The following is an 18,436-nucleotide window of genomic DNA, read 5'->3' on the forward strand; positions in this document are numbered from 1 at the left end:
TTCACTCTGTCCTCTGTTTCCTCCATAACCGATGGCCATAATTTTAAAATAACTGGCCAGAATTAGAGATGAGTCTGAGTCCAAAAAACAGTGTTGTTTGACCCACAGAAGGATCTGACCTGGTGTAAACCACATTCACGAACAGGTCTGGTGACACTAACTAGCCACTGTCTCTGGAATGCATCTTTGTCAAGCACTGCTTTGGGGAAGAAGACAGAAGTGCTGAGAATTCTCTTCTTTTTAATTCAAAGGGGGGAAGAATGTAAAACACGGCTCTTGAACCAGTTCCATGGGCAGATAAAGTTCAGACAAAAATGTTAAATCACACATTTGTCCATTAGTATCTGGTTTCTTCACTCAACAAATGACTATTGAGCTTCTATATATACCTGGAGCTGTGCTTAAACCTAGGGATACAGTTGTAAATAATACAAGCAAATGTCAAAGATATAAAAACATAGAATCTATGTCAGGTAGGAAGAAAAATACAGCAGGTGCTTAGTTAGGAAAGCCTATGCCTTTCACACAGCCTCGCTTGGTGCTTATTTTTTGCCCAATGCTAATGCTGAAAATAAACTGCTTACTCTGGCCAAGCCAAATGATCAGTGATAGAATGGGTTACTGTGATTCATTTCTAAGCTGCTTTTCTTTTATAATTTGGGGGAAAATGCAGTTATTAGTAGTAAAGTCCCTAGAAATCATTTCTAGTTCACTTGAAAGGTTCAGTTGCATAAAAATATGTTTAAATAAACAACTTGGAATAAAGAGTGGTTAAAATTGTATGCATATGTAATCAACAATGTTAGCTTTTTTTCATGCATAGCCCAGACTTTTTTTTTTTTTTAAAGCAAATGTCTTCTGAAGGCCACAAAATGAATCTTAGGAGGTTTGTTTGAACAGTTTCACTGCTAATAATTTTTAAAAGGTGTCAGTTCTGGAGGCTCGGGCTATCTTAGCCAAAATAATCCATCCAAGCTTCTTAATTTTAGTCATTCTGAAATTTAGTGGTGAAAATTAAAGGTGTGCAAGAAACCTGGGAGACAGAGTTTTTATATGAAATATAATTATAGTATCTTTTGGTCCTGTCTGAATTAAGTCATTATACAAAGATTTCTGACTCACAGCTATAGCTAATAAGAGCTCCCACTCATTTCACAAACTGACCACCTACTACTACTATCTATTACCACTAACTGACTACCTACTACATGCCAACTGCTACTGAACACTAACTATGTTCCAAGCATCTTATGATGCTACCTTAAAACTCACAACAAAGCTAGGAAATAAATATCATCATCATGCCCATTTTGCAAATAAAAAAATTGAAATTCAGAAAAATTAAATGATATACCCAAGGTCACACCCAGCTCATAAGTGGCAGACTAGGAATTTATCACCAAAGCCTTTCTCTTCACTCTATGGTACTGCTCCCCCCCAATAGCCCAGATGGCAGGTTTGATTTTGTGTGGATTAGCAACAGATATTTGTTCCTCAAGGTGCTTTGCTATCATATGCTAGAAAACTGGCATAGTTACTACCTGTATCTATATCTAGCTACCTATCTATCCACATATATCTGTGGTAACTATGATGTGAAGAGTGCCCCTGTAACTTTGCAAAAGCACAACCTGAACCACCTCAGCCAGCAGCCCTGACACCATGGTACAGCCCTGATATTGTGTTACAAGACATCACAGTGACAAATCATGGCATAAATCATATTCATTTCCACTTATGCACCCATGACAAGACCCACACAATGCACACTGGGATGCTTGTGGGTGTGGGGAGTGGCGGGCGCGTTAGTGACAGACACTCTTAGAAACAGGCATGAAAAGCAGCATCTTTAGGCCGATCAACTGTTATGAGCAGGAACACAGGCTGCTGTGCTGATGTGCATGTGAGTGTGTGTGTGTGTGTGTGCACGCTTTCTTTGAGGAAGAGGAGGAGGATTATAACGCACAAATTAGTCAGAGGATACACAATGTGCAACTTCAAGGGAAAATGCTTCATAGCTTCTGTGAAACAGTCACTGGTGATGTAGCTATCCTAATAAGCCATAACCATCACTCTTTGCCAAAGGGTACCTGACTCCTCCTTTCTTCTCCCTCCCCACGCCCTACAATCCCTACTACCCAAGGATGACAGTCATTCTTCCCCCGCTTTATTTCACACAAAAGGCCCCCTCTAGAATCCAGAAGGGCACCATCATAAGCCGCAAGCCATTACTCTTCACTGAATATAAAGTTAAATTCATTTATCTCTATCTTCAATGAGAAAAGGAAGGAAATTAAGCAAGAAAGATGGCACAATGCTTTCAAGAATGGTGTATTCAAGGTCAAAGCCTGCCATAATTGAGTTAAAAAATAATAAATGAAAATATGTCTGCTCGGCAGAATACGGTCCAGCTAGAAGTCTTCATTAAATGTTCCAGTACACACAATGTGTTAGCTGTGTGTTTGTGTGCTTGAGATTCTGTGAGATATCCTGTAGCTCATAAATACTGAAAAGGGACAGTTACCATAGTAACTAAGTGCTATTTAATGAATACCAAAGAACTGAAGCTCCGAGGATGGTTTTAAATTGCCAGAACATGACTTACTGCTGCAGCTATGGGCTTGCAAGTAACTGACATGTCACTCTCTCTAATAAGATTTTTAACAAGTTGGCCAATTTGGCTGATCTCTGTCTTGACCACATGACACCACAAGATTCTGTCTTTACATCACATGAAAAGCATGTTCCTGATTTCTTCTCCTGACTCTAAGTACCAAGATCTTCTACAGAAATGGGTCAGACATTCAGATATGGAAAACGTCCTTAAATTTGAAACTTTGACCCAAGTAGTGAAGCAGTAGGACACATACTTCCGTCATAAGCAATAGACACCAGTTCAATGAGCTGTCAGGCTGAATACAGCAGGCTCTTTATTTCCGAAAAAGGTGAATGCTCCCTTTACACTAAATGCAGTTTGTTCTTTATTGTGCAATGACACAGAAGAGCTATTGCAGTTGATTTTTGCAGGAACTTTTTACAGGCTAGTGACGTCTTAGGTAATCTTTCATCAGGATGTCCAAACCTTCCCTACTACGCCCACTCCCAATTCTCTCTCGCCATCCATCACCATATGTCAAATTCCTCACCTTGGAATCATCTCACTTTTTACAGATTTAAAAGGAAAAAATAAGCATGGCTGCCCTGCTTTTCTTTCCACTGGTCTCCCCTGGTAACTTTAACGTGGTCCATTTTTAAGGCTACAGATTGTGTGGCAAGCATACTTACGTCTACATGCCATTAATAAGTAACAAGAATTTTAAAAACGAAAACATCTATGTACCATGAAGCCAAAAATCTTTAGCAAATGCATCCGTTCTCCAGAGGCTGGCTTGTTCTTGCATAACCAGCAGCTCGAATGGCCTGGCTGGAGCCAGCCTAGCTCAGTGCTCGGGCTGCGGGCGCCCCCTTCAGCATCTAGGGTGCAATGCATGTTGCTTTCCTGTTAGATACTAACAAGACGGCTGGGCAATTATTTTTGCTAAAACTGTTTAAGGAAATTTTGTAGGAAAATTTGGGCCAACATCTAATGGTGTGAGACAAAAATCCTGCACATTACCAGCCTGCATTTAATGTTAAAATCAGGCACGTAAAATTTAAAAGGGAGGCCTTCATTGCAAGAAGAAAAAAAAACCGTATAGATATATTCATTTATTCATTTGATTAAATAACACTTCTCTACAAGGTGAACTCTATTTAAAATTGCCTCTGTCTGTGATAAACACAATTAAAAGTGGAGACAGCCACAACCTCTTCACCTTCTCATTTCCTTCTACAGCCTGAAGCTGTTCTCTCTGTAGTGCAATCCCCAGCCTTAACTGCTTCCTCCTAGAACCCCCTGTCAATGCCTTGGTTTATCTCACCTCCATGTTTAGTCTTGACTCACAGGGCCACGTTATCTACTCACCTCTCTCGTACGATTTCATGTCGATGACTGCTCTAACTCCACAATGATCTTTCTTCTTTGAATTTCTAAGGCATCTTGTTTCTGCCTCTCGTGTGATATTCTTAACCCATCCCTTCTTAGGCTGAGAATATTTGACTTTACATCTCCTCTCCTCTCCTAGACTGTCAGCTTCTTAAAGGCAGGGTGTGGCTGTTGTATAAGCTTGACCCTCAGCCTGCGGCTTGCCGAGGTGCTCCTGTGCAGAGTGAATTTGTGAATGAAGGAACACACAAAGGTGACTCTTTTGGCTTCATTTCATCTCTCTAAGAGCTCTGCTTAACAAACTCGTTGCTCCAACCTAAAAAATGAAGGGGCACTTAAAGAAAATAAGACCAGCGAGACAGTTCTTCCTCCTCTCCTTGGAAAATCTTTTCTACTTAAATTCATCTTTATCCATTCATTCTTCTAACACAGTCATGTATTGATCACATGCAGTAAGTAAAAAGCATGAAATGGGAAGATGCTATTCTTACTTTTCCTCTCACCATAGCCAGTGCTGAATAAAATCTTTCTAATTTTCCTTTATGCTGTTTCTTAGTCCTGCCAATCTTCCATGCCGTGTGGAAGGCTGCATCCTTCTCACTCACCTGTTCAACATTTATTGTGCTTCTTCTCTATGCTGAACCGAACTGGCCCACGTCAAATAGGATCAATTAAAACAAAAATCGAGAGCATAACTCCTCACTCCTTAAGTATGGGCTGTACATGGTGACTTCCTTCCAGAAAATACAACATGGAAAGGGGTGGGGAAAACAGCTGTATGGTGGAGAAACTTGGCAAGTACGACCTCAGCCAGTTCATCCAGGTCAACACCAGTAGTGGTAAGTCGTGCTCACCGTATGTCTTTTGATGAAAATGGTTCTTTACTTTTGTGATCTTCCTCCCGCAAACCCACAACCCGAAGCTTATAATTAGAAAAACATCAGGAAAATCACAACAGAGGCCATTCTACAAAATACCTGATCGATATTCCTCAAAACTGTCATGGTCATCAAAAACAGAGTCAGAGAAATTGTCACAAGTCAGGGGAGCCTAAGGACACATGACCACTAAATGTAATATTAAATCCCGGAAGGGAAAAAACAGGCAAAAACTAAGGAAATATGATAAAGCATGGATTCTAGTTAATAATAGCATATCAATATTGGATCATTAATTGTGACAAGTGTACCATACTAATGTAAGATAATAATAGTGGCAACCAGCTGTGGGGTACATAGGAGTGTCTTGTACTATCTTTGTAACTTTTCTGTAAATCTAAAATATTCTAAAATAAAACATTTATTTTTAAAAATGGAACTAGACTCAAGAATATTAATGAGAAAGAAAAGGAAGACAGATTGTGGTACAGGATTGTAAGTGGGTTTTCTGGATTCAGTAGAACTCGGGCTGCAAGGTGAGAAGAGGCAGACAGTGACGATGGTAGGGGTAGTGTCTAAGGACAGTGGAAAGCTATGGATGATTCATGGACAGTTAGAAAAGGCTAAAAATATTATTGCACTTCAGAAAGGTCCTAGTTGAGGTCATCAGCATAAATTTTGGTCGGGAACAGCCAGCCCAGATGAGCAACTTTCTCATAACAACCAGGCCAAGAATAGAGAAAGCTGGTGCTGTGATCGACCCAGACAAGGGCTCAGCATACAGTTTCTGCAACGATCTCTCTCTTTTAACGTGAACCACAACAAACACGCTTTCTCCTTGAATTCTTCCAGATTCATTATTCTATGAAGCCTCCTCTTCAACAGCCCCCTTCTCTCCTTTTTCCCACATTCTGTAACTGAAAAAAATGAATAATGATAGTGCAAAAACATTCTGATGATGGTTTAGAGGAAAATGTTAAATTAGAGGAGTAAAGAAGCAAGATATAGAGTAAGTCAAATAAGTCAAAGAAATCCAAGGGAGGCTCAATCAATTCAATATACCCTGAGAATATTTTTCCACTTTTCAAAAAAAAAAAAAAAAACGATAAAACAAGAAAAGAAAGACAAAAAGGTCACCAGCTTTTTAAAAGGATCTAGAGTCAGAGAAATAGAACCCCATGGTTCATCTGCCTTCTGATCACCACAGGCAAAATAGCTAAGAACATCTAAAAATGAAAATGTCCTGCAAAGAATGAAACTAGTCAAACTAGAGAAATAGAAAATAACCATAATAATACATATCTTGTCTTTGTGTAACACGTTCTTAGTTGACAAAGCATTTTCACATGTATCTCATGTGATTCTAACCAAAACTTTATGAGGTAGGCATAACAATTCTTAATGATCACATTTTACATATGAAAGAGTGGATTTTCAGAGACTTTAAATGGCCTTCGATGGATCTGGGACCAGAACTTACACATCAGGCTCTGGGGCCTATGCTGGTTTTCCTTATGTCTGGCACCGAGGTGTACACAATCAGCAGACATAGATAAAGAAGGCTTCATACTAGTAAGATAATGCAGAATATGTATCTTTCTCCCAAAAGACACACATACAAAAATGTAAATATTTAATTTTCTATTATCATTATTGTGATAAATATATTTGATCATTAATGTGATAAATAATGTCCTTCATAAAGTGAAGGATGGAAATCATACAAAAATGCAAAACAGCTGGGCGCGGTGGCTCATGCCTGTAATCCCAGCACTTTGGGAGGCCGAGACGGGCGGATCACGAGGTCAGGAGACCGAGATCATCCTGGCTAACACGGTGAAACCCCATCTCTACAAAAAATACAAAAAAATTAGCCGGGCGTAGTGGCGGCCGCCTGTAGTCCCAGCTACTAGGGAGGCTGAGGCAGGAGAATGGCGTGAACCTGGGAGGCGGAGCTTGCAGTGAGCCGAGATCACACCACTGCACTCCAGCCTGGGCGACAAAGCGAGACTCCGTCTCAAACAAACAAACAAACAAAAAAGAAATGTGAAAGAACTTATGAGAGAAAGCAATAGAAAGAAATGTAAAAACATAGGAGCTTTTTAGTTTGACCTTAAGTTAGTTATTCTTAGACTAGAAATGAGGGAAATTAAGCAGGTAATATATATAGATCTTTTAAAAAAAATCTACACATCTGGATCTTTATGTGCTATTCTGAAACAACTGAATAGGAAAGGAAGGGCAAGACAATGTTATAGAAATCAGTAGCAAAACTTGTGAGAAAGTGGTCTAAATTTATATAGTCTAAAACGTGACTCAAAGAGACATAATCACAGCCTATAAATATCCTCCAAGCAGCAATATGTGGTAAATAAAGCAAGTGAATTATTCACAACCTTAGGTTCAGGTCATCTCTCTTTGTCCAGTTGTCTAGGGAAGACAATGCTCTACCCCTGAGCTGGTGTCATCCCTAGAAATTAAAACGGCAGACGAGGGCTCCCCAGGCTGGGCCCTGTTGGAGATACTCAGGTGTAGGATTCAAAAGAAGAAGCACATCAAATGGCCTCCTGAGATTCTCCATATTATTAAGAATTAGACTGAAGAGTCTCACCACACAATAAAGTATTTTCATTTTTTCCCTCACCTTTGATAAAGAATGACAGAGAATGAAATCAAATCCAAAAATGCTTTTAGTTATTGGCCCACCTGATTGGAAGACAACATGGAATATGAAAAATCAAGAAAATTATAAAGTGCTCTGCTTTGCTATCAGACAGCCTGGTACTGAATCTCATGAAGAAACATCTGAATTTATGAAGTCAAAGTCACTAGGTCAGGGTTCTCATAGCAAACCTGTCACTTACACGGTTGTACAGCTACCGTTTTCTCATTGTCATAAGGTAATCAATATTTGTCTTTCCTGGTAAAATTACATTTAAGGCACCAAAACATTTTAAAAACCCACGAGAGCTGTGACGTACAGATTATTACTGATGATTAACATTAGTATGATGCTCCCTGATGTTATGCTTCAAAAACACCATTTTTCAGAAATATTTCTTTACAGAATAGTTTTCTCCCTTTTGAAAATTTCTAGGATTTCAGATTAAAGCTCACAATCTCCTTAAGCCACAAGTTATTTCAAAAGGTCTGCCTGGTCCCAGCCCTTGAAGCAGCCTAAATTGTTTGAATTACAGCCAAGATGGCCCTGGGCAGGCCCCTGCTGGGTGTACAGCAGCCCGCTGTAGAGTGATATTTTAAATATCAGGAGTTCTCTAAACACAGCATGCTCAATTCAGCCACAGAACAAGCAAAATCCAAGCAATTTTTTTTCCATTGCCTTTCCAAGCACAATTTTTCTAGCTTTGTAGAGAAGCTGCCTACATTTGGTTTTACTTGTCTTCATTTTGCATGTAATTATTTTGTATGCAACCAGATATTTAGTCCTTAAATGGGCAATAGTTCCTTATTAACATAAGAAAGACCTTGAACCATGTCTTGTTGTTATCTTAAGATACTTATGTGAGTAAGATGTGTATACCACCCTTTATGGCATTGCATGGATCTTAACCAGTGATGAGGTGATATGCTGAAGTGTTTAACTGAAGGCTGCTTGCTTGCTATGACTACGGCCTGCCAACCATGTGAACTGGTCCCTGAGTGGGAACAGTGGGTGCCCAGAGAGTGTCAAGTGGAAAAAAACAAGGATTTCCTATAGGAATATCTGGGGCTTGTTTTTAGGCTTATAGTGATGGTACCTTAGTGTTTCAAATGATCATCGTTTTCCCAAAGGTAACCCAGGAGCACTTCAATTGAAGCTGGGCCTTTGTGACAATATTAGCCCAAGAAACCGTAGACTTTTTCTTACTACAATAAAAACCCTAACAGACTTTGAACAAATGCCTGTACGAGGAGGCAGAAGTCCACGCAAGTGCACATACATACAGATTATTAAAGCATTTAATGGGATTTTCTCCACTACGACTGCAAAATTTATGAAAAACACAAATCAGGCTGCAGGTGTTGCCTGTACTAACGTCCTATAAGGAGACAATAACAGAGCTCCAGTCTCTATTGACTGCTTTCCTGAGTTGGTGGAATTTGCCAGACTTGCAATATTAACATAGAATTATGGAAATTGGAAACAAAAAGCTGGAATCTACTAGGAATGATAGGCTGAAGATGAACTCAACTGGAAAATTTGGCTAACTGAAAGTGACATCCTTTGTGCTGGAATTTTTCTATCTGAAAGCTTTAAAAAGGCTGTAATTATTTTGAGTTTTCAATTCAACCCTTTTCAAACTAAGCCTTTTATTTCCTTCATCACGCTTTACCTTTCTTCCATGTGAACTCGGGCATTTGCCAGGCACTGAAGTGGTAAATTCATATTGGTTTTATATACAGATCCATTGTCAGAGAATGCAACACAACTTCTACATCCTCTATGCCAAGAAAAACAAAGGAATATTTGCACATCAAAACCTTTATCTTGTGTACAGGATCAAAATACCTGAGCACAGCTAAAGAAGTCATCTAAGGAGAAGCGGCTGATTAATGCCAAAGCATTATTTCTGTGCAAGTTAGTGCATTTTCTCCACAATGAAGCCAAGGAATACAAGAACTTAGACTTACCTTGTGCCTTTTGGGTCCCAAATAACAATGTCAGCATCTGATCCTACAGCTATTCTTCCTTTTCTTGGATAGAGATTAAAAATTTTGGCTGCATTTGTGCTGGTAACTGCCACAAATCTGTTTTCATCCATTTTACCACTATGCTGTAAAGCAATTCAAAGAATCATTCTAATGATCAAATACTAAAAAGTATCCTATCGATAAAATGACAAGACTTGCATCTCTTAAACAAACAGAACTGCACCTAATTTCTTATATTGTAGAGCATCTGAGGATGCTGGTAAGTATTAAACAGTCATAATGCCAATGATGGAGATGATGGGGTAACATATGGAAGCCTGAAGATGACTTTTCAGAAACCCCACTACTTAGCATCCACACTAATTCTTCCCATTCATCCTAGAATCACAAAAATTGTTATAGGTGACAGCTAAATTTTGGTAATGGTATTTTCGATTCTCCTTTAAAGTTTGACAATACCACATTTATGATCTGACTTATTTATTACAGACCTAAGATTTATGAGATAATCATGTAGACATTAGATAGAATATTATAGAGTGAGAATAGGTGACAACACTTTTTTTTTTTTTTTTTGAGATGGAATTTCACTCTCGTTGCCCAGGCTGGAGTGCAGTGGTGCGATCTTGGCTCACTGCAACCTCCATCTCCCAGGTTCAAGCGATTCTCCTGCCTCAGCCTCCCAAGTAAGTAACTGGGATTACAGGCATGCACCACCACACCTGGCTAATTTTCTGTATTTAGTAGAGACGGGGTTTCACCATGTTGGCCAGGCTGGTCTCCAACTCCTGACCTCAGGTGATCCACCCTCCTTGGCCTCCCAAAGTGTTGGGATTACAGGCGTGAGCCACTGCACCCAGCTGACAACATTTTTAAATCAGCTGGCAATGCTTTTATTATTTTTAAAAGAATATTATAGAGGATAGGTGACAACACTTTTGAATCAGGTGACAATGCTTTTTTTAAATTTTTTGTTTCGAGATATGGTCTCACTCTGTTGCCCAGGCTGGAGTGCAGTGGTGTGATCATGGCTCACTGCAGCTTTAACCTCCCTTGGCTCAGGTGATCCTCCCCACTCTGCCTCCCAAGCATTAGGTTGGTGCGAAAGCAATCTGTTTTGCCATCACTTTTAATGGCAAAAACTGCAATTACTTTTGCACCAACCTAATAGCTGGGACTACATGGTGGGGTATGCCCCACCATGCCTGGCTAATTTTTTATAGAGATGGGGTTTCACCATGTTGCCCAGGCTGGTCTGGAACTGTAATCCTAACACTTCGGGAGGCCGAGGCAATCCACCTGCCTTAGCCTCCCCAAAGTGTTAGGATTACAGGCATAAGCCACCACACCCAGATGCAATCCTTTTGAAAAGATAAAAAAACAACTCAAGAGGTTCAATTTTATGCAATTGAAGTTTTACATGAACCAACAATTATGGATAGTCTATTGCAAGAGATTTTAATGTGGACAGAATTCAGAGGGGTGTGGCTCCTCTAAAATAAAATTGGAAAGTGTTAGGGGTTTATCCCTATTTATATGGTAAGAGGGTACTAAAGGTTTATTTAATTATCAAACAATGCTTGCCTTAAAAATGACTAAGAACCATGCCCTGAAAGTAATATTCCCATAAGTAAACCATATTAATGTTTCATAAAATGACATGGTTTTCTATATATTATTAAGAACTATTCAGTCACTGTAAAGCCATTTATATACCAGGGAACTATATAGATTATGAAAATCTGCTATAATAAAGATATTCATTGTAAAACAGAAGTTCAAGTGGAAGCTTGAACTTTTATCAAGAAAATCTAAGTGAAGAGAAGTCATCTGGGATGGTTAGAGTTAGGGTGGAGGAAGGGGGGTGAGGAAAATAATCAGCAGAAGATGAGGCTATAGAGATGTTTTGAAGATCTAATTGTAAGTTAATGATTCAACTATCATCCAATAAGTAATGGAGGCAAGTAAAGGGTTTTTGAGAGAACAATAGCACAAACAGAACTTTATTTCTAAATGAGAACTCCCATTCAAAACCTATCCTCCCTCTATAATATTGTAAAAATAATAATAAAAGCATTGTCAGCTGTTCTCAGTACAGAACAAGAGTTCTTGTACTGGAGTAAAGAATACACTGTAGCAAGTGAGACTCTGGAGATGGGGACCAGCTGTGAGATTACTGCAAAGGTCCAAACAAAATATGAGCCTCCAACTAGAATGGTAGCAACGAAGAAAGAAATAAGGAGGCCCTTTGGAAACAAAATTGACAAGACTTGGTGAATAATTCATTAGAGTTAGAAGTAGGTGGTATGTGTAGGGTAAAAGCAATTGAAGAGGATTCTGAAGTGTGAGATATAATTAATGTGTCATTTGAGGGAGGCATCCTAGGAGATGGGTGAAAAGGGCATGACACTGGGGACCAGAAGTCTAACCAGGCAAGTCCCCTCTGCTAGTCTTCACAGCTCCACATGTCAACTGGCTGGACAAGTTAACACATAGACATTTAGTCATGTGATTCTTCTCCGTCCTCAGGGAGAAGTTTTGTAGTCATGGACATTTAAATTTTTTTCCAGACTTTAAATTATTACTTTTGTGACTTCATATAGCAATTTTAAAAACATGATATCCAAGGATTCTTTAAGAAGTGACATCAGGCTGGGCACGGTGGCTCACGCCTGTCAATCCCAACACTTCGGGAGGCGAAGGCGGGTGGATCACCTGAGGTCAGGAGTTTGAAACCAGCCTGGCCAACATGGTGAAACCCCCTCTCTATTAAAAATACAAAAATTTGCCAGTCATGGTGGTGCACATCTGTAATCCCAGCTACTTGGGAGGCTGAGGCAGGAGAATCACTTGAACCCAGGAGGTGGAGGTTGCAGTGAGCCAAGATTGCACCACTGCACTCCAGTCCGGGCAACAGAGTGAGACTCCGTCTCAAAAAAAAAAAAAAAAAAAGAACTGACATCAACAAAGATTTCATGGAAAGGAGGTATGAGCATAACGAATACGCTTCGTGTATTTTTTTTTTTTTGTGATGGAGTCTCACTGTGTTGCCCCAGGCTAGAGTGCAATGGTGCCATCTTGACTCACCACAACCTCTGCCTCACAAGTTCAAGCAATTCTCCTGCCTCAGCCTCCTGAGTAGCTGGGATTACAGCCACGTGCCACCATGCCCGGCTAACTTTTGTATTTTTAGTAGAGATGGGGTTTCACCATGTTAGCCAGGTTGGTCTTGAACTCCTGACCTCAAGTGATCCACCTGCCTTGGCCTCCCAAAGTGCTGGGATTACAGGTGTGAGCCACTGCACCCTGCCCCTTCGTGTATTTTTTATCATTTCAAGCATTCGTGCCAATGACACATGACGCACTGGAATTCAAGAGCATGAGAAATCAAGCAGAAGGGCTATGCCATTTCAGAGAATTGAAGAATAACCCTCTTTGTATGCAATCTTAATTCATCCTCTAATGTCTCCGCAAAATAGTGCGATGCATCGTCTAAACTAAAATAAACTATGCAGAGAAGATTATTTCTTTGCTGATGCTATACTGAGGGATGGAATGGTGGTCGAGGTGATAGTATTGCATTCCTAGTATCCTCCCTAGTAAAAACAATCAAAAAGCTTCTCTATGAAAATTTGTGCCACTCTGGTCCTCAAATGGGCAGGATCCTGGCTGAAGAACTAGGCAAAGCAAGGCTGGAACCTGTGAAACCCACCACGCCTTTTTCCCATATTACGGACATCCGATCTTCAACACCATTCACCCCATTGGGGATCTTGGTAAAATCATCCTTCCCAAGAGCTTTCTGGCAGGTGTTGAAAGTGCAGTTATCAGTCCCTGTTGTGGTTAGATCATCACTGTAAAAGAAAAAACACGAGAGTGATGGGGTGAGTATACAGAATATGTTAGGAGGAAACTGCCATAACCTTTCCTAATCTCCTGGCTCCCTTCTCAATTGAAGTCAGAAAAATCCAATGGAGAATGAGCAGTTTTTTCAAGAACATATTTCATCCCTCTCCTGTCTCTATTCTAGGAAGCACTTTCAGAGGACACACTGATCGGAAGCATGATCCAAGATGGGTTAGGAAACCTGAGTTCTAAGCTCAGCTCCATCACTTAACTAGCTCTGTGATATGAGCTTGTCCGAGACTCCATTTCTCATCTAGAAATGAATAGTCACATGTACTTGATGAAGATAACTTCAGAATCACCAGCAAATATGTGAGAGAAAACTCCTTGTGAGCAGAATGCTGCATCCACAAAGACATCACCATGGTGATCCTCATGAATGGAGGGCAGGCCCTCCGGGGCAGTCCCTAGCCACACGGCCACACTGGGATGAACAGAGGGTGAGACTGGCTGGCGATGCTGATATTACCAGGGACAGGAATCCTGCTTTGACTTGTGAGTAATCTTGGGGATGCTGAATCATGAAGGAGGAAGGAAGCTGAAAAGAATGGGTAAGTGAACTCTTGTACGGTCTGTCATGAAAAACTCTTAGCTTGAGACTGAGTATCTGTGAATGGGGAGTGTCGGGATGTCCATGAAGGATAGAATTTTCTTTTCTCTTTTCTTTTTTTTTTCGAGACAGAGTCTTGCTCTGTCACTCAGGTTGGAGTGCAGTGGCACTATCTCTGCTCACTGCAACCTCTGCCTCCTGGGTTCAAGTGATTCTCGTGCCTCAGCCTCCCGAGTAACTGGGATTACAGGCATAAGCCACCACGCCCAGCCAATTTTTGTATTTTTAGTAGAGATGGGGATTTGCCATGTTCACCAGGCTTGTCTCAAACTCCTGGCCTCATGTGATCCGCCCACCTCAGCCTCCCAAAGTGCTGGGATTACAAGCATGAGCCACTGCATCTGGCCCAAGAATGGTAGAATTTTCAAGAAAAATGATCATATGTTCCCAGAAAGTAACAGGGTTAACCTAGTTCCCATATTATATCAGCATAGAAAAAAATTCAACAATATTCTGATAAAAAGTAAGGTGTAATGAAGAGCCCTGGGTTTGGGCAACAAGAGATGAAAAAAGTCAGAAAAGAGTAAAGTTTCAGTGAAAACGATCTGATTTCTGAGAGTCTAGGAAAGGCTTTGACAACATATCACAGCATAATTAAGTCAATGTTTTTTGCTCTGCAGGTGAGGGGTACCCAGGACCTGACAGGTCAAGTAGAAGAGAATACTGGGAGGTTAGTGGAGGATCCAGATGGGAGGACGAGCTCCCTTCTACCCAAACCTTCTTTTGGCAATACACTTCCCAGTCATCTGCAAAATGATTACTTAGCCAACAGATTCATGAGGAAGTCGGGTGTTGAGGGGTCTGGTCGCAAAGGTGGACCCATGACATGGTGGGCTGCATGGTGCCATTCTTTATTCCAGTAGTGAGTGCCATCTGTGCCAAGACTGGCTGCTATGGGTTCACCATAGACCACCTTCCCTGGAAAGATTAAAAGAAGCATTCATCACTTTAATTTTATTCTTAAGAGGACCATATGACAAACACATAAATATTAATCTTTTCTCCCCTAGCAGAGGGTAATATCTACAGTTTAGCAGAATCCCAAACTATAATTTACTTTTGTGGACAGGATTTAAAAATCCATGATGAACATAAATATGAATGAGAAATAAACTTCTGTAAGTATAAGCTATTCATATTTTAGATCCATTTTTATGGCCATATAACCTAGAAAAAGCTGGCTGGTACAAGAGCCATTCTAATGAAACCTTCTCCAAAACCCTACCAGATAAATGCTATTGTTATCTCCATAAAAAGATGAAAATAAAGCTATGGAGTAATAATTTCTCTACATTTACATTACATACAGTCTATGTGGTGTGGAGAAGGTAGAATTTGAACCCAGAATTTGACTCCAGTGGTTCTAACTTTTATGCTTTACTACCCTGATGACAGATAATTATTAGTTAGGTCATATGGAATTCAACCACAGCATATCTCTGCTGCAAATCAATTGATAATCTTTTCATGCCCTTGAAAAAAAGAACTCCTCAAAAAACGTGTATTAAATGAAAGAACACTCAGATAATAAAGTCTTAGCCAGAAATGCGTATTTTAAAAATCATGCAAATGAGGCCATCAAAAAAAAAAGCGTACAATGTTAGAAAAGTTAATAGTGCACAGTGAATTTGAAATTAAAATCAGAATCCTATCTCTGATTAGCATTTGTCAGAATAATAGGTTTGTTGGCATCAACCTGATCAAATTCAGGCAATCATTAAGGAGAGTGCACAGTAGAGAGATGCTGGCATACCAAATTAGTTCACTCTGGTTCATCAGATGCTGAGTTTTAGTTAAAATCCTGATATATAACTGAAATTAACGATTTCCTCAGAGAGTACTGACAGTAGATGGCCGCCAGTTGCCTGAGTCATATCAAATTGGAACACAGCACCCTATTATTTCATAGATCCTTCTTCAAACTAGCCATCTTCCACTAGCTAGCTTAGGAATTTGAAAAACCATGAAAGCAAGGCTTATTGAAGCCTAAGAACTTCAATTCTTAAGTAACCAAGTATCAATAAAAGTTATCCCCCAGGGACTTAGCCATGGCTAAGTTACTTTGCTTCCGTGACATACCCTACTGGATGAATCCCATCTCCATTCGGATTCTTACTGCCCTATCCCCAGAAAAGGAGAAACACCATTAGCAACTCTTTCTAAATATAGAATATGCCCAATCGTTTTTAGTGAATGAAGAGGTAATGTACTATCTACTGGAGAACTGGGAAGATGGACACGATATTTTATTTGCAAGTATGAAGAGACCTTCCTATTCCAAGGGAACGTCTTACAGATGCTTGGACAATGAAAACTCAGAGACTTGATCTGCAATCACTTTACAAGTCGCTGACTGAGGATTTTCCATGGTGCTTTATCATTGAGGAAAGATCCTTATCACATGTTCTATTCAATCACTTGGCCCATCAAGGTGATACGGGAATATGGTTCCAAAAGTTCTGCAATTTTAACAGCACTCAGGAAAAATTAAAAGTGTCAGCATCTACCGGGAGTCTGCCAGGACTGTTTTGAAACCAGATGACAGGTAATTTCCTTGGAAGGGCTTAGCTCCTTTAAAATGTGACAGGCCACTTTAGTGGTATATACAACAAACTCTTCGTTAACTGGGCTATTTTCAACTTTCTCCCCATCTAGTATCTGTTAATATCCAAAATAAAATTTAAAAAGTAAAAATTCCTAACTGCATATTCTATTTCCTATTTCACTATTTCTAAGGCATTTTCAAAGGACTAAAAAGCATGCAAGAACTAAAAAGGGGAAGGAAAACAGGAGGCCTGGATAATCCATAAATTGGATAATCAAACTGGATAATTCAGCATAATTATGGGTTGTGTTAGATTTGGGCTAAAAATAAAATAACAATAAAAATAGCTAACACATGCATACCATTCTATAGTTTGCAAGGCTCCCAAATACAATCTCATTTGACCTTCATAGCCGCCTTCATGCTGGTTTGACAGATGAAAAAATTGATGTTCAATGAGACTAATGTGCTCAACACACACTGGCACTAAGTTGTACAGCCAGAATTACAGTCATAGTATTATAATATCATATCATATGCACTATGTTACTAGGAAAAGTGCCATTTTTTATTACTTGGGAAAGAGCATGTATTTCTAAATGTTTAAGTCAACCACAGGCTGTTTGTGGATGTGGCTGAGCATTTTTCCAATTTCATTTACTGGTTTCATTTACTACACTTAGCTGGTTGGCAATGAAGAGTGCTCTATCTGTCTTCAGCCTGGTACTATCCTGATTACATTCACAACTGGAGGGTTTCAACAACTCTTAGGAGAAAGGAACATCTTCATCATTAATCTCCTCCCACTGTCTTAGCAAGCTTCACATTAGGTTGTATCGTCTCTACCCATAGATGTTCTCTCCTTATTTCTCCATTTTTTGGCTCAAACCCAAACAAACAAAAGATTCTGCCCTTTATGATGCAATCTCCCACTTAAAGGAGTTTTACCCTTTGAGAGATACTCAAGATTTCCCAGTAATGAAGCAGATCAAACCAATCCAAACTCTCCACTGACCAGACAACCCATTTATTAGATGACGGTGATAGAGCAGATGTTAACACCTTGTCTGGATCTGCAAGCAACGCTAAATATTGAGTCCTGAGATCTGCTAGAGAAGGTTGAAAGATGCACAGAAAAAGCATAGGCATCCAGGACCAAAAGCCCTGGCCACTAAATAGGAGGCCAAACATATTCATAGAAATAAATCTTCCTAGCCAAAAGGATACAGCCAAACTTTCCTGGACTTTATTTTGATTCAAAACATTACATTTACAAAGGAAGAAAAGAATTGAGAAGGCAAATACATAGAAGCAGCTTGGTAGAATGGATCATACAGATTTAGGTTCAAATCCTGCTTTTGCTACTTTTTAGCTGGTGACATTGTACAAGGTAAGTCATTGTTCTTAGTCTGTTTTTCTCATCTGTGAAATGGGATCATAGTGTCCCTCTAGTGTGGCAATTTTGTGAAAGTCAAATAAATTAATGTTTATGAAAGTACCCAGAATCTTCCTGGGACCCTGGAGACATTTCATGTTATGGGCTGAATTGTGTCCTCTGCCCAAATCCACATGTTGAAGTTCTAACCCTGGTACCTCAGAATGTAACTGTATTTGGAAAAAGGATCTTTATGGAGGTAGTGAATTTAAAGTGAGGTCATTAGGGTGGGCCCTAATTCAATAACACTGTGGTTCTTATACGAAGAGGAAATTTGGACACATAGAGGGGAAGATAACGTGAAGACACAGGAAGAAGATGGCCATCTATAAGCCAAGAAGAAAAGCCTAGAACACATCCTTCCTCCACAGCTCTCAGAAGGAGCCAACCCTGTTCAACCCTGTTGTCACCTTGGTTTTGGACT

At 39.8% G+C, this 18,436-nt stretch overlaps 1 protein-coding gene and 1 long non-coding RNA gene across 10 annotated transcripts in view, besides 1 other annotated feature; one reads left to right on the forward strand and one right to left on the reverse strand.

Annotated features, from left to right (window-relative positions):
- The window catches only part of DPYS (dihydropyrimidinase), an 87,625-nt gene that overhangs the window by 35,321 nt on the left and 33,868 nt on the right, over window positions 1–18,436 (reverse strand). For 4 of the 9 annotated variants that reach the window (XM_006716518.4, XM_005250818.4, XM_047421415.1 and 1 more), the window contains 4 exons: window positions 14,794–14,950; window positions 13,229–13,370; window positions 9,496–9,638; window positions 9,198–9,305 (listed from right to left, as the gene is read on the reverse strand). In XM_006716518.4, coding sequence (XP_006716581.1) covers window positions 9,198–9,305; window positions 9,496–9,638; window positions 13,229–13,370; window positions 14,794–14,950 — 550 coding nt within the window. Of the gene's footprint in view, window positions 1–244; window positions 4,302–9,197; window positions 9,306–9,495; window positions 9,639–13,228; window positions 13,371–14,793; window positions 14,951–18,436 lie in introns of those variants that run through there. The other 5 variants (XM_047421418.1, NM_001385.3, XM_047421416.1 and 2 more) reach the window with 3 other exon arrangements.
- Window positions 12,595–12,786: a silencer, noted in NCBI's record as "fragment chr8:105439574-105439765 (GRCh37/hg19 assembly coordinates)". NCBI's record gives its function as "represses an EF-1alpha promoter that drives an FKBP-Casp9 reporter gene in an ReSE screen in K562 erythroleukemia cells {active_cell/tissue: K562}" and the evidence as "EXISTENCE:reporter gene assay evidence [ECO:0000049][PMID:32094911]".
- LOC105375692 (uncharacterized) lies at window positions 13,547–16,544 on the forward strand. The gene is made up of 2 exons (XR_001746027.2): window positions 13,547–13,973; window positions 14,653–16,544. It is a non-coding gene; the product is annotated as an uncharacterized LOC105375692 (long non-coding RNA).

Source organism: Homo sapiens, chromosome 8 (assembly GCF_000001405.40).
Source record: "Homo sapiens chromosome 8, GRCh38.p14 Primary Assembly".
Lineage (NCBI taxonomy): Eukaryota > Metazoa > Chordata > Mammalia > Primates > Hominidae > Homo > Homo sapiens.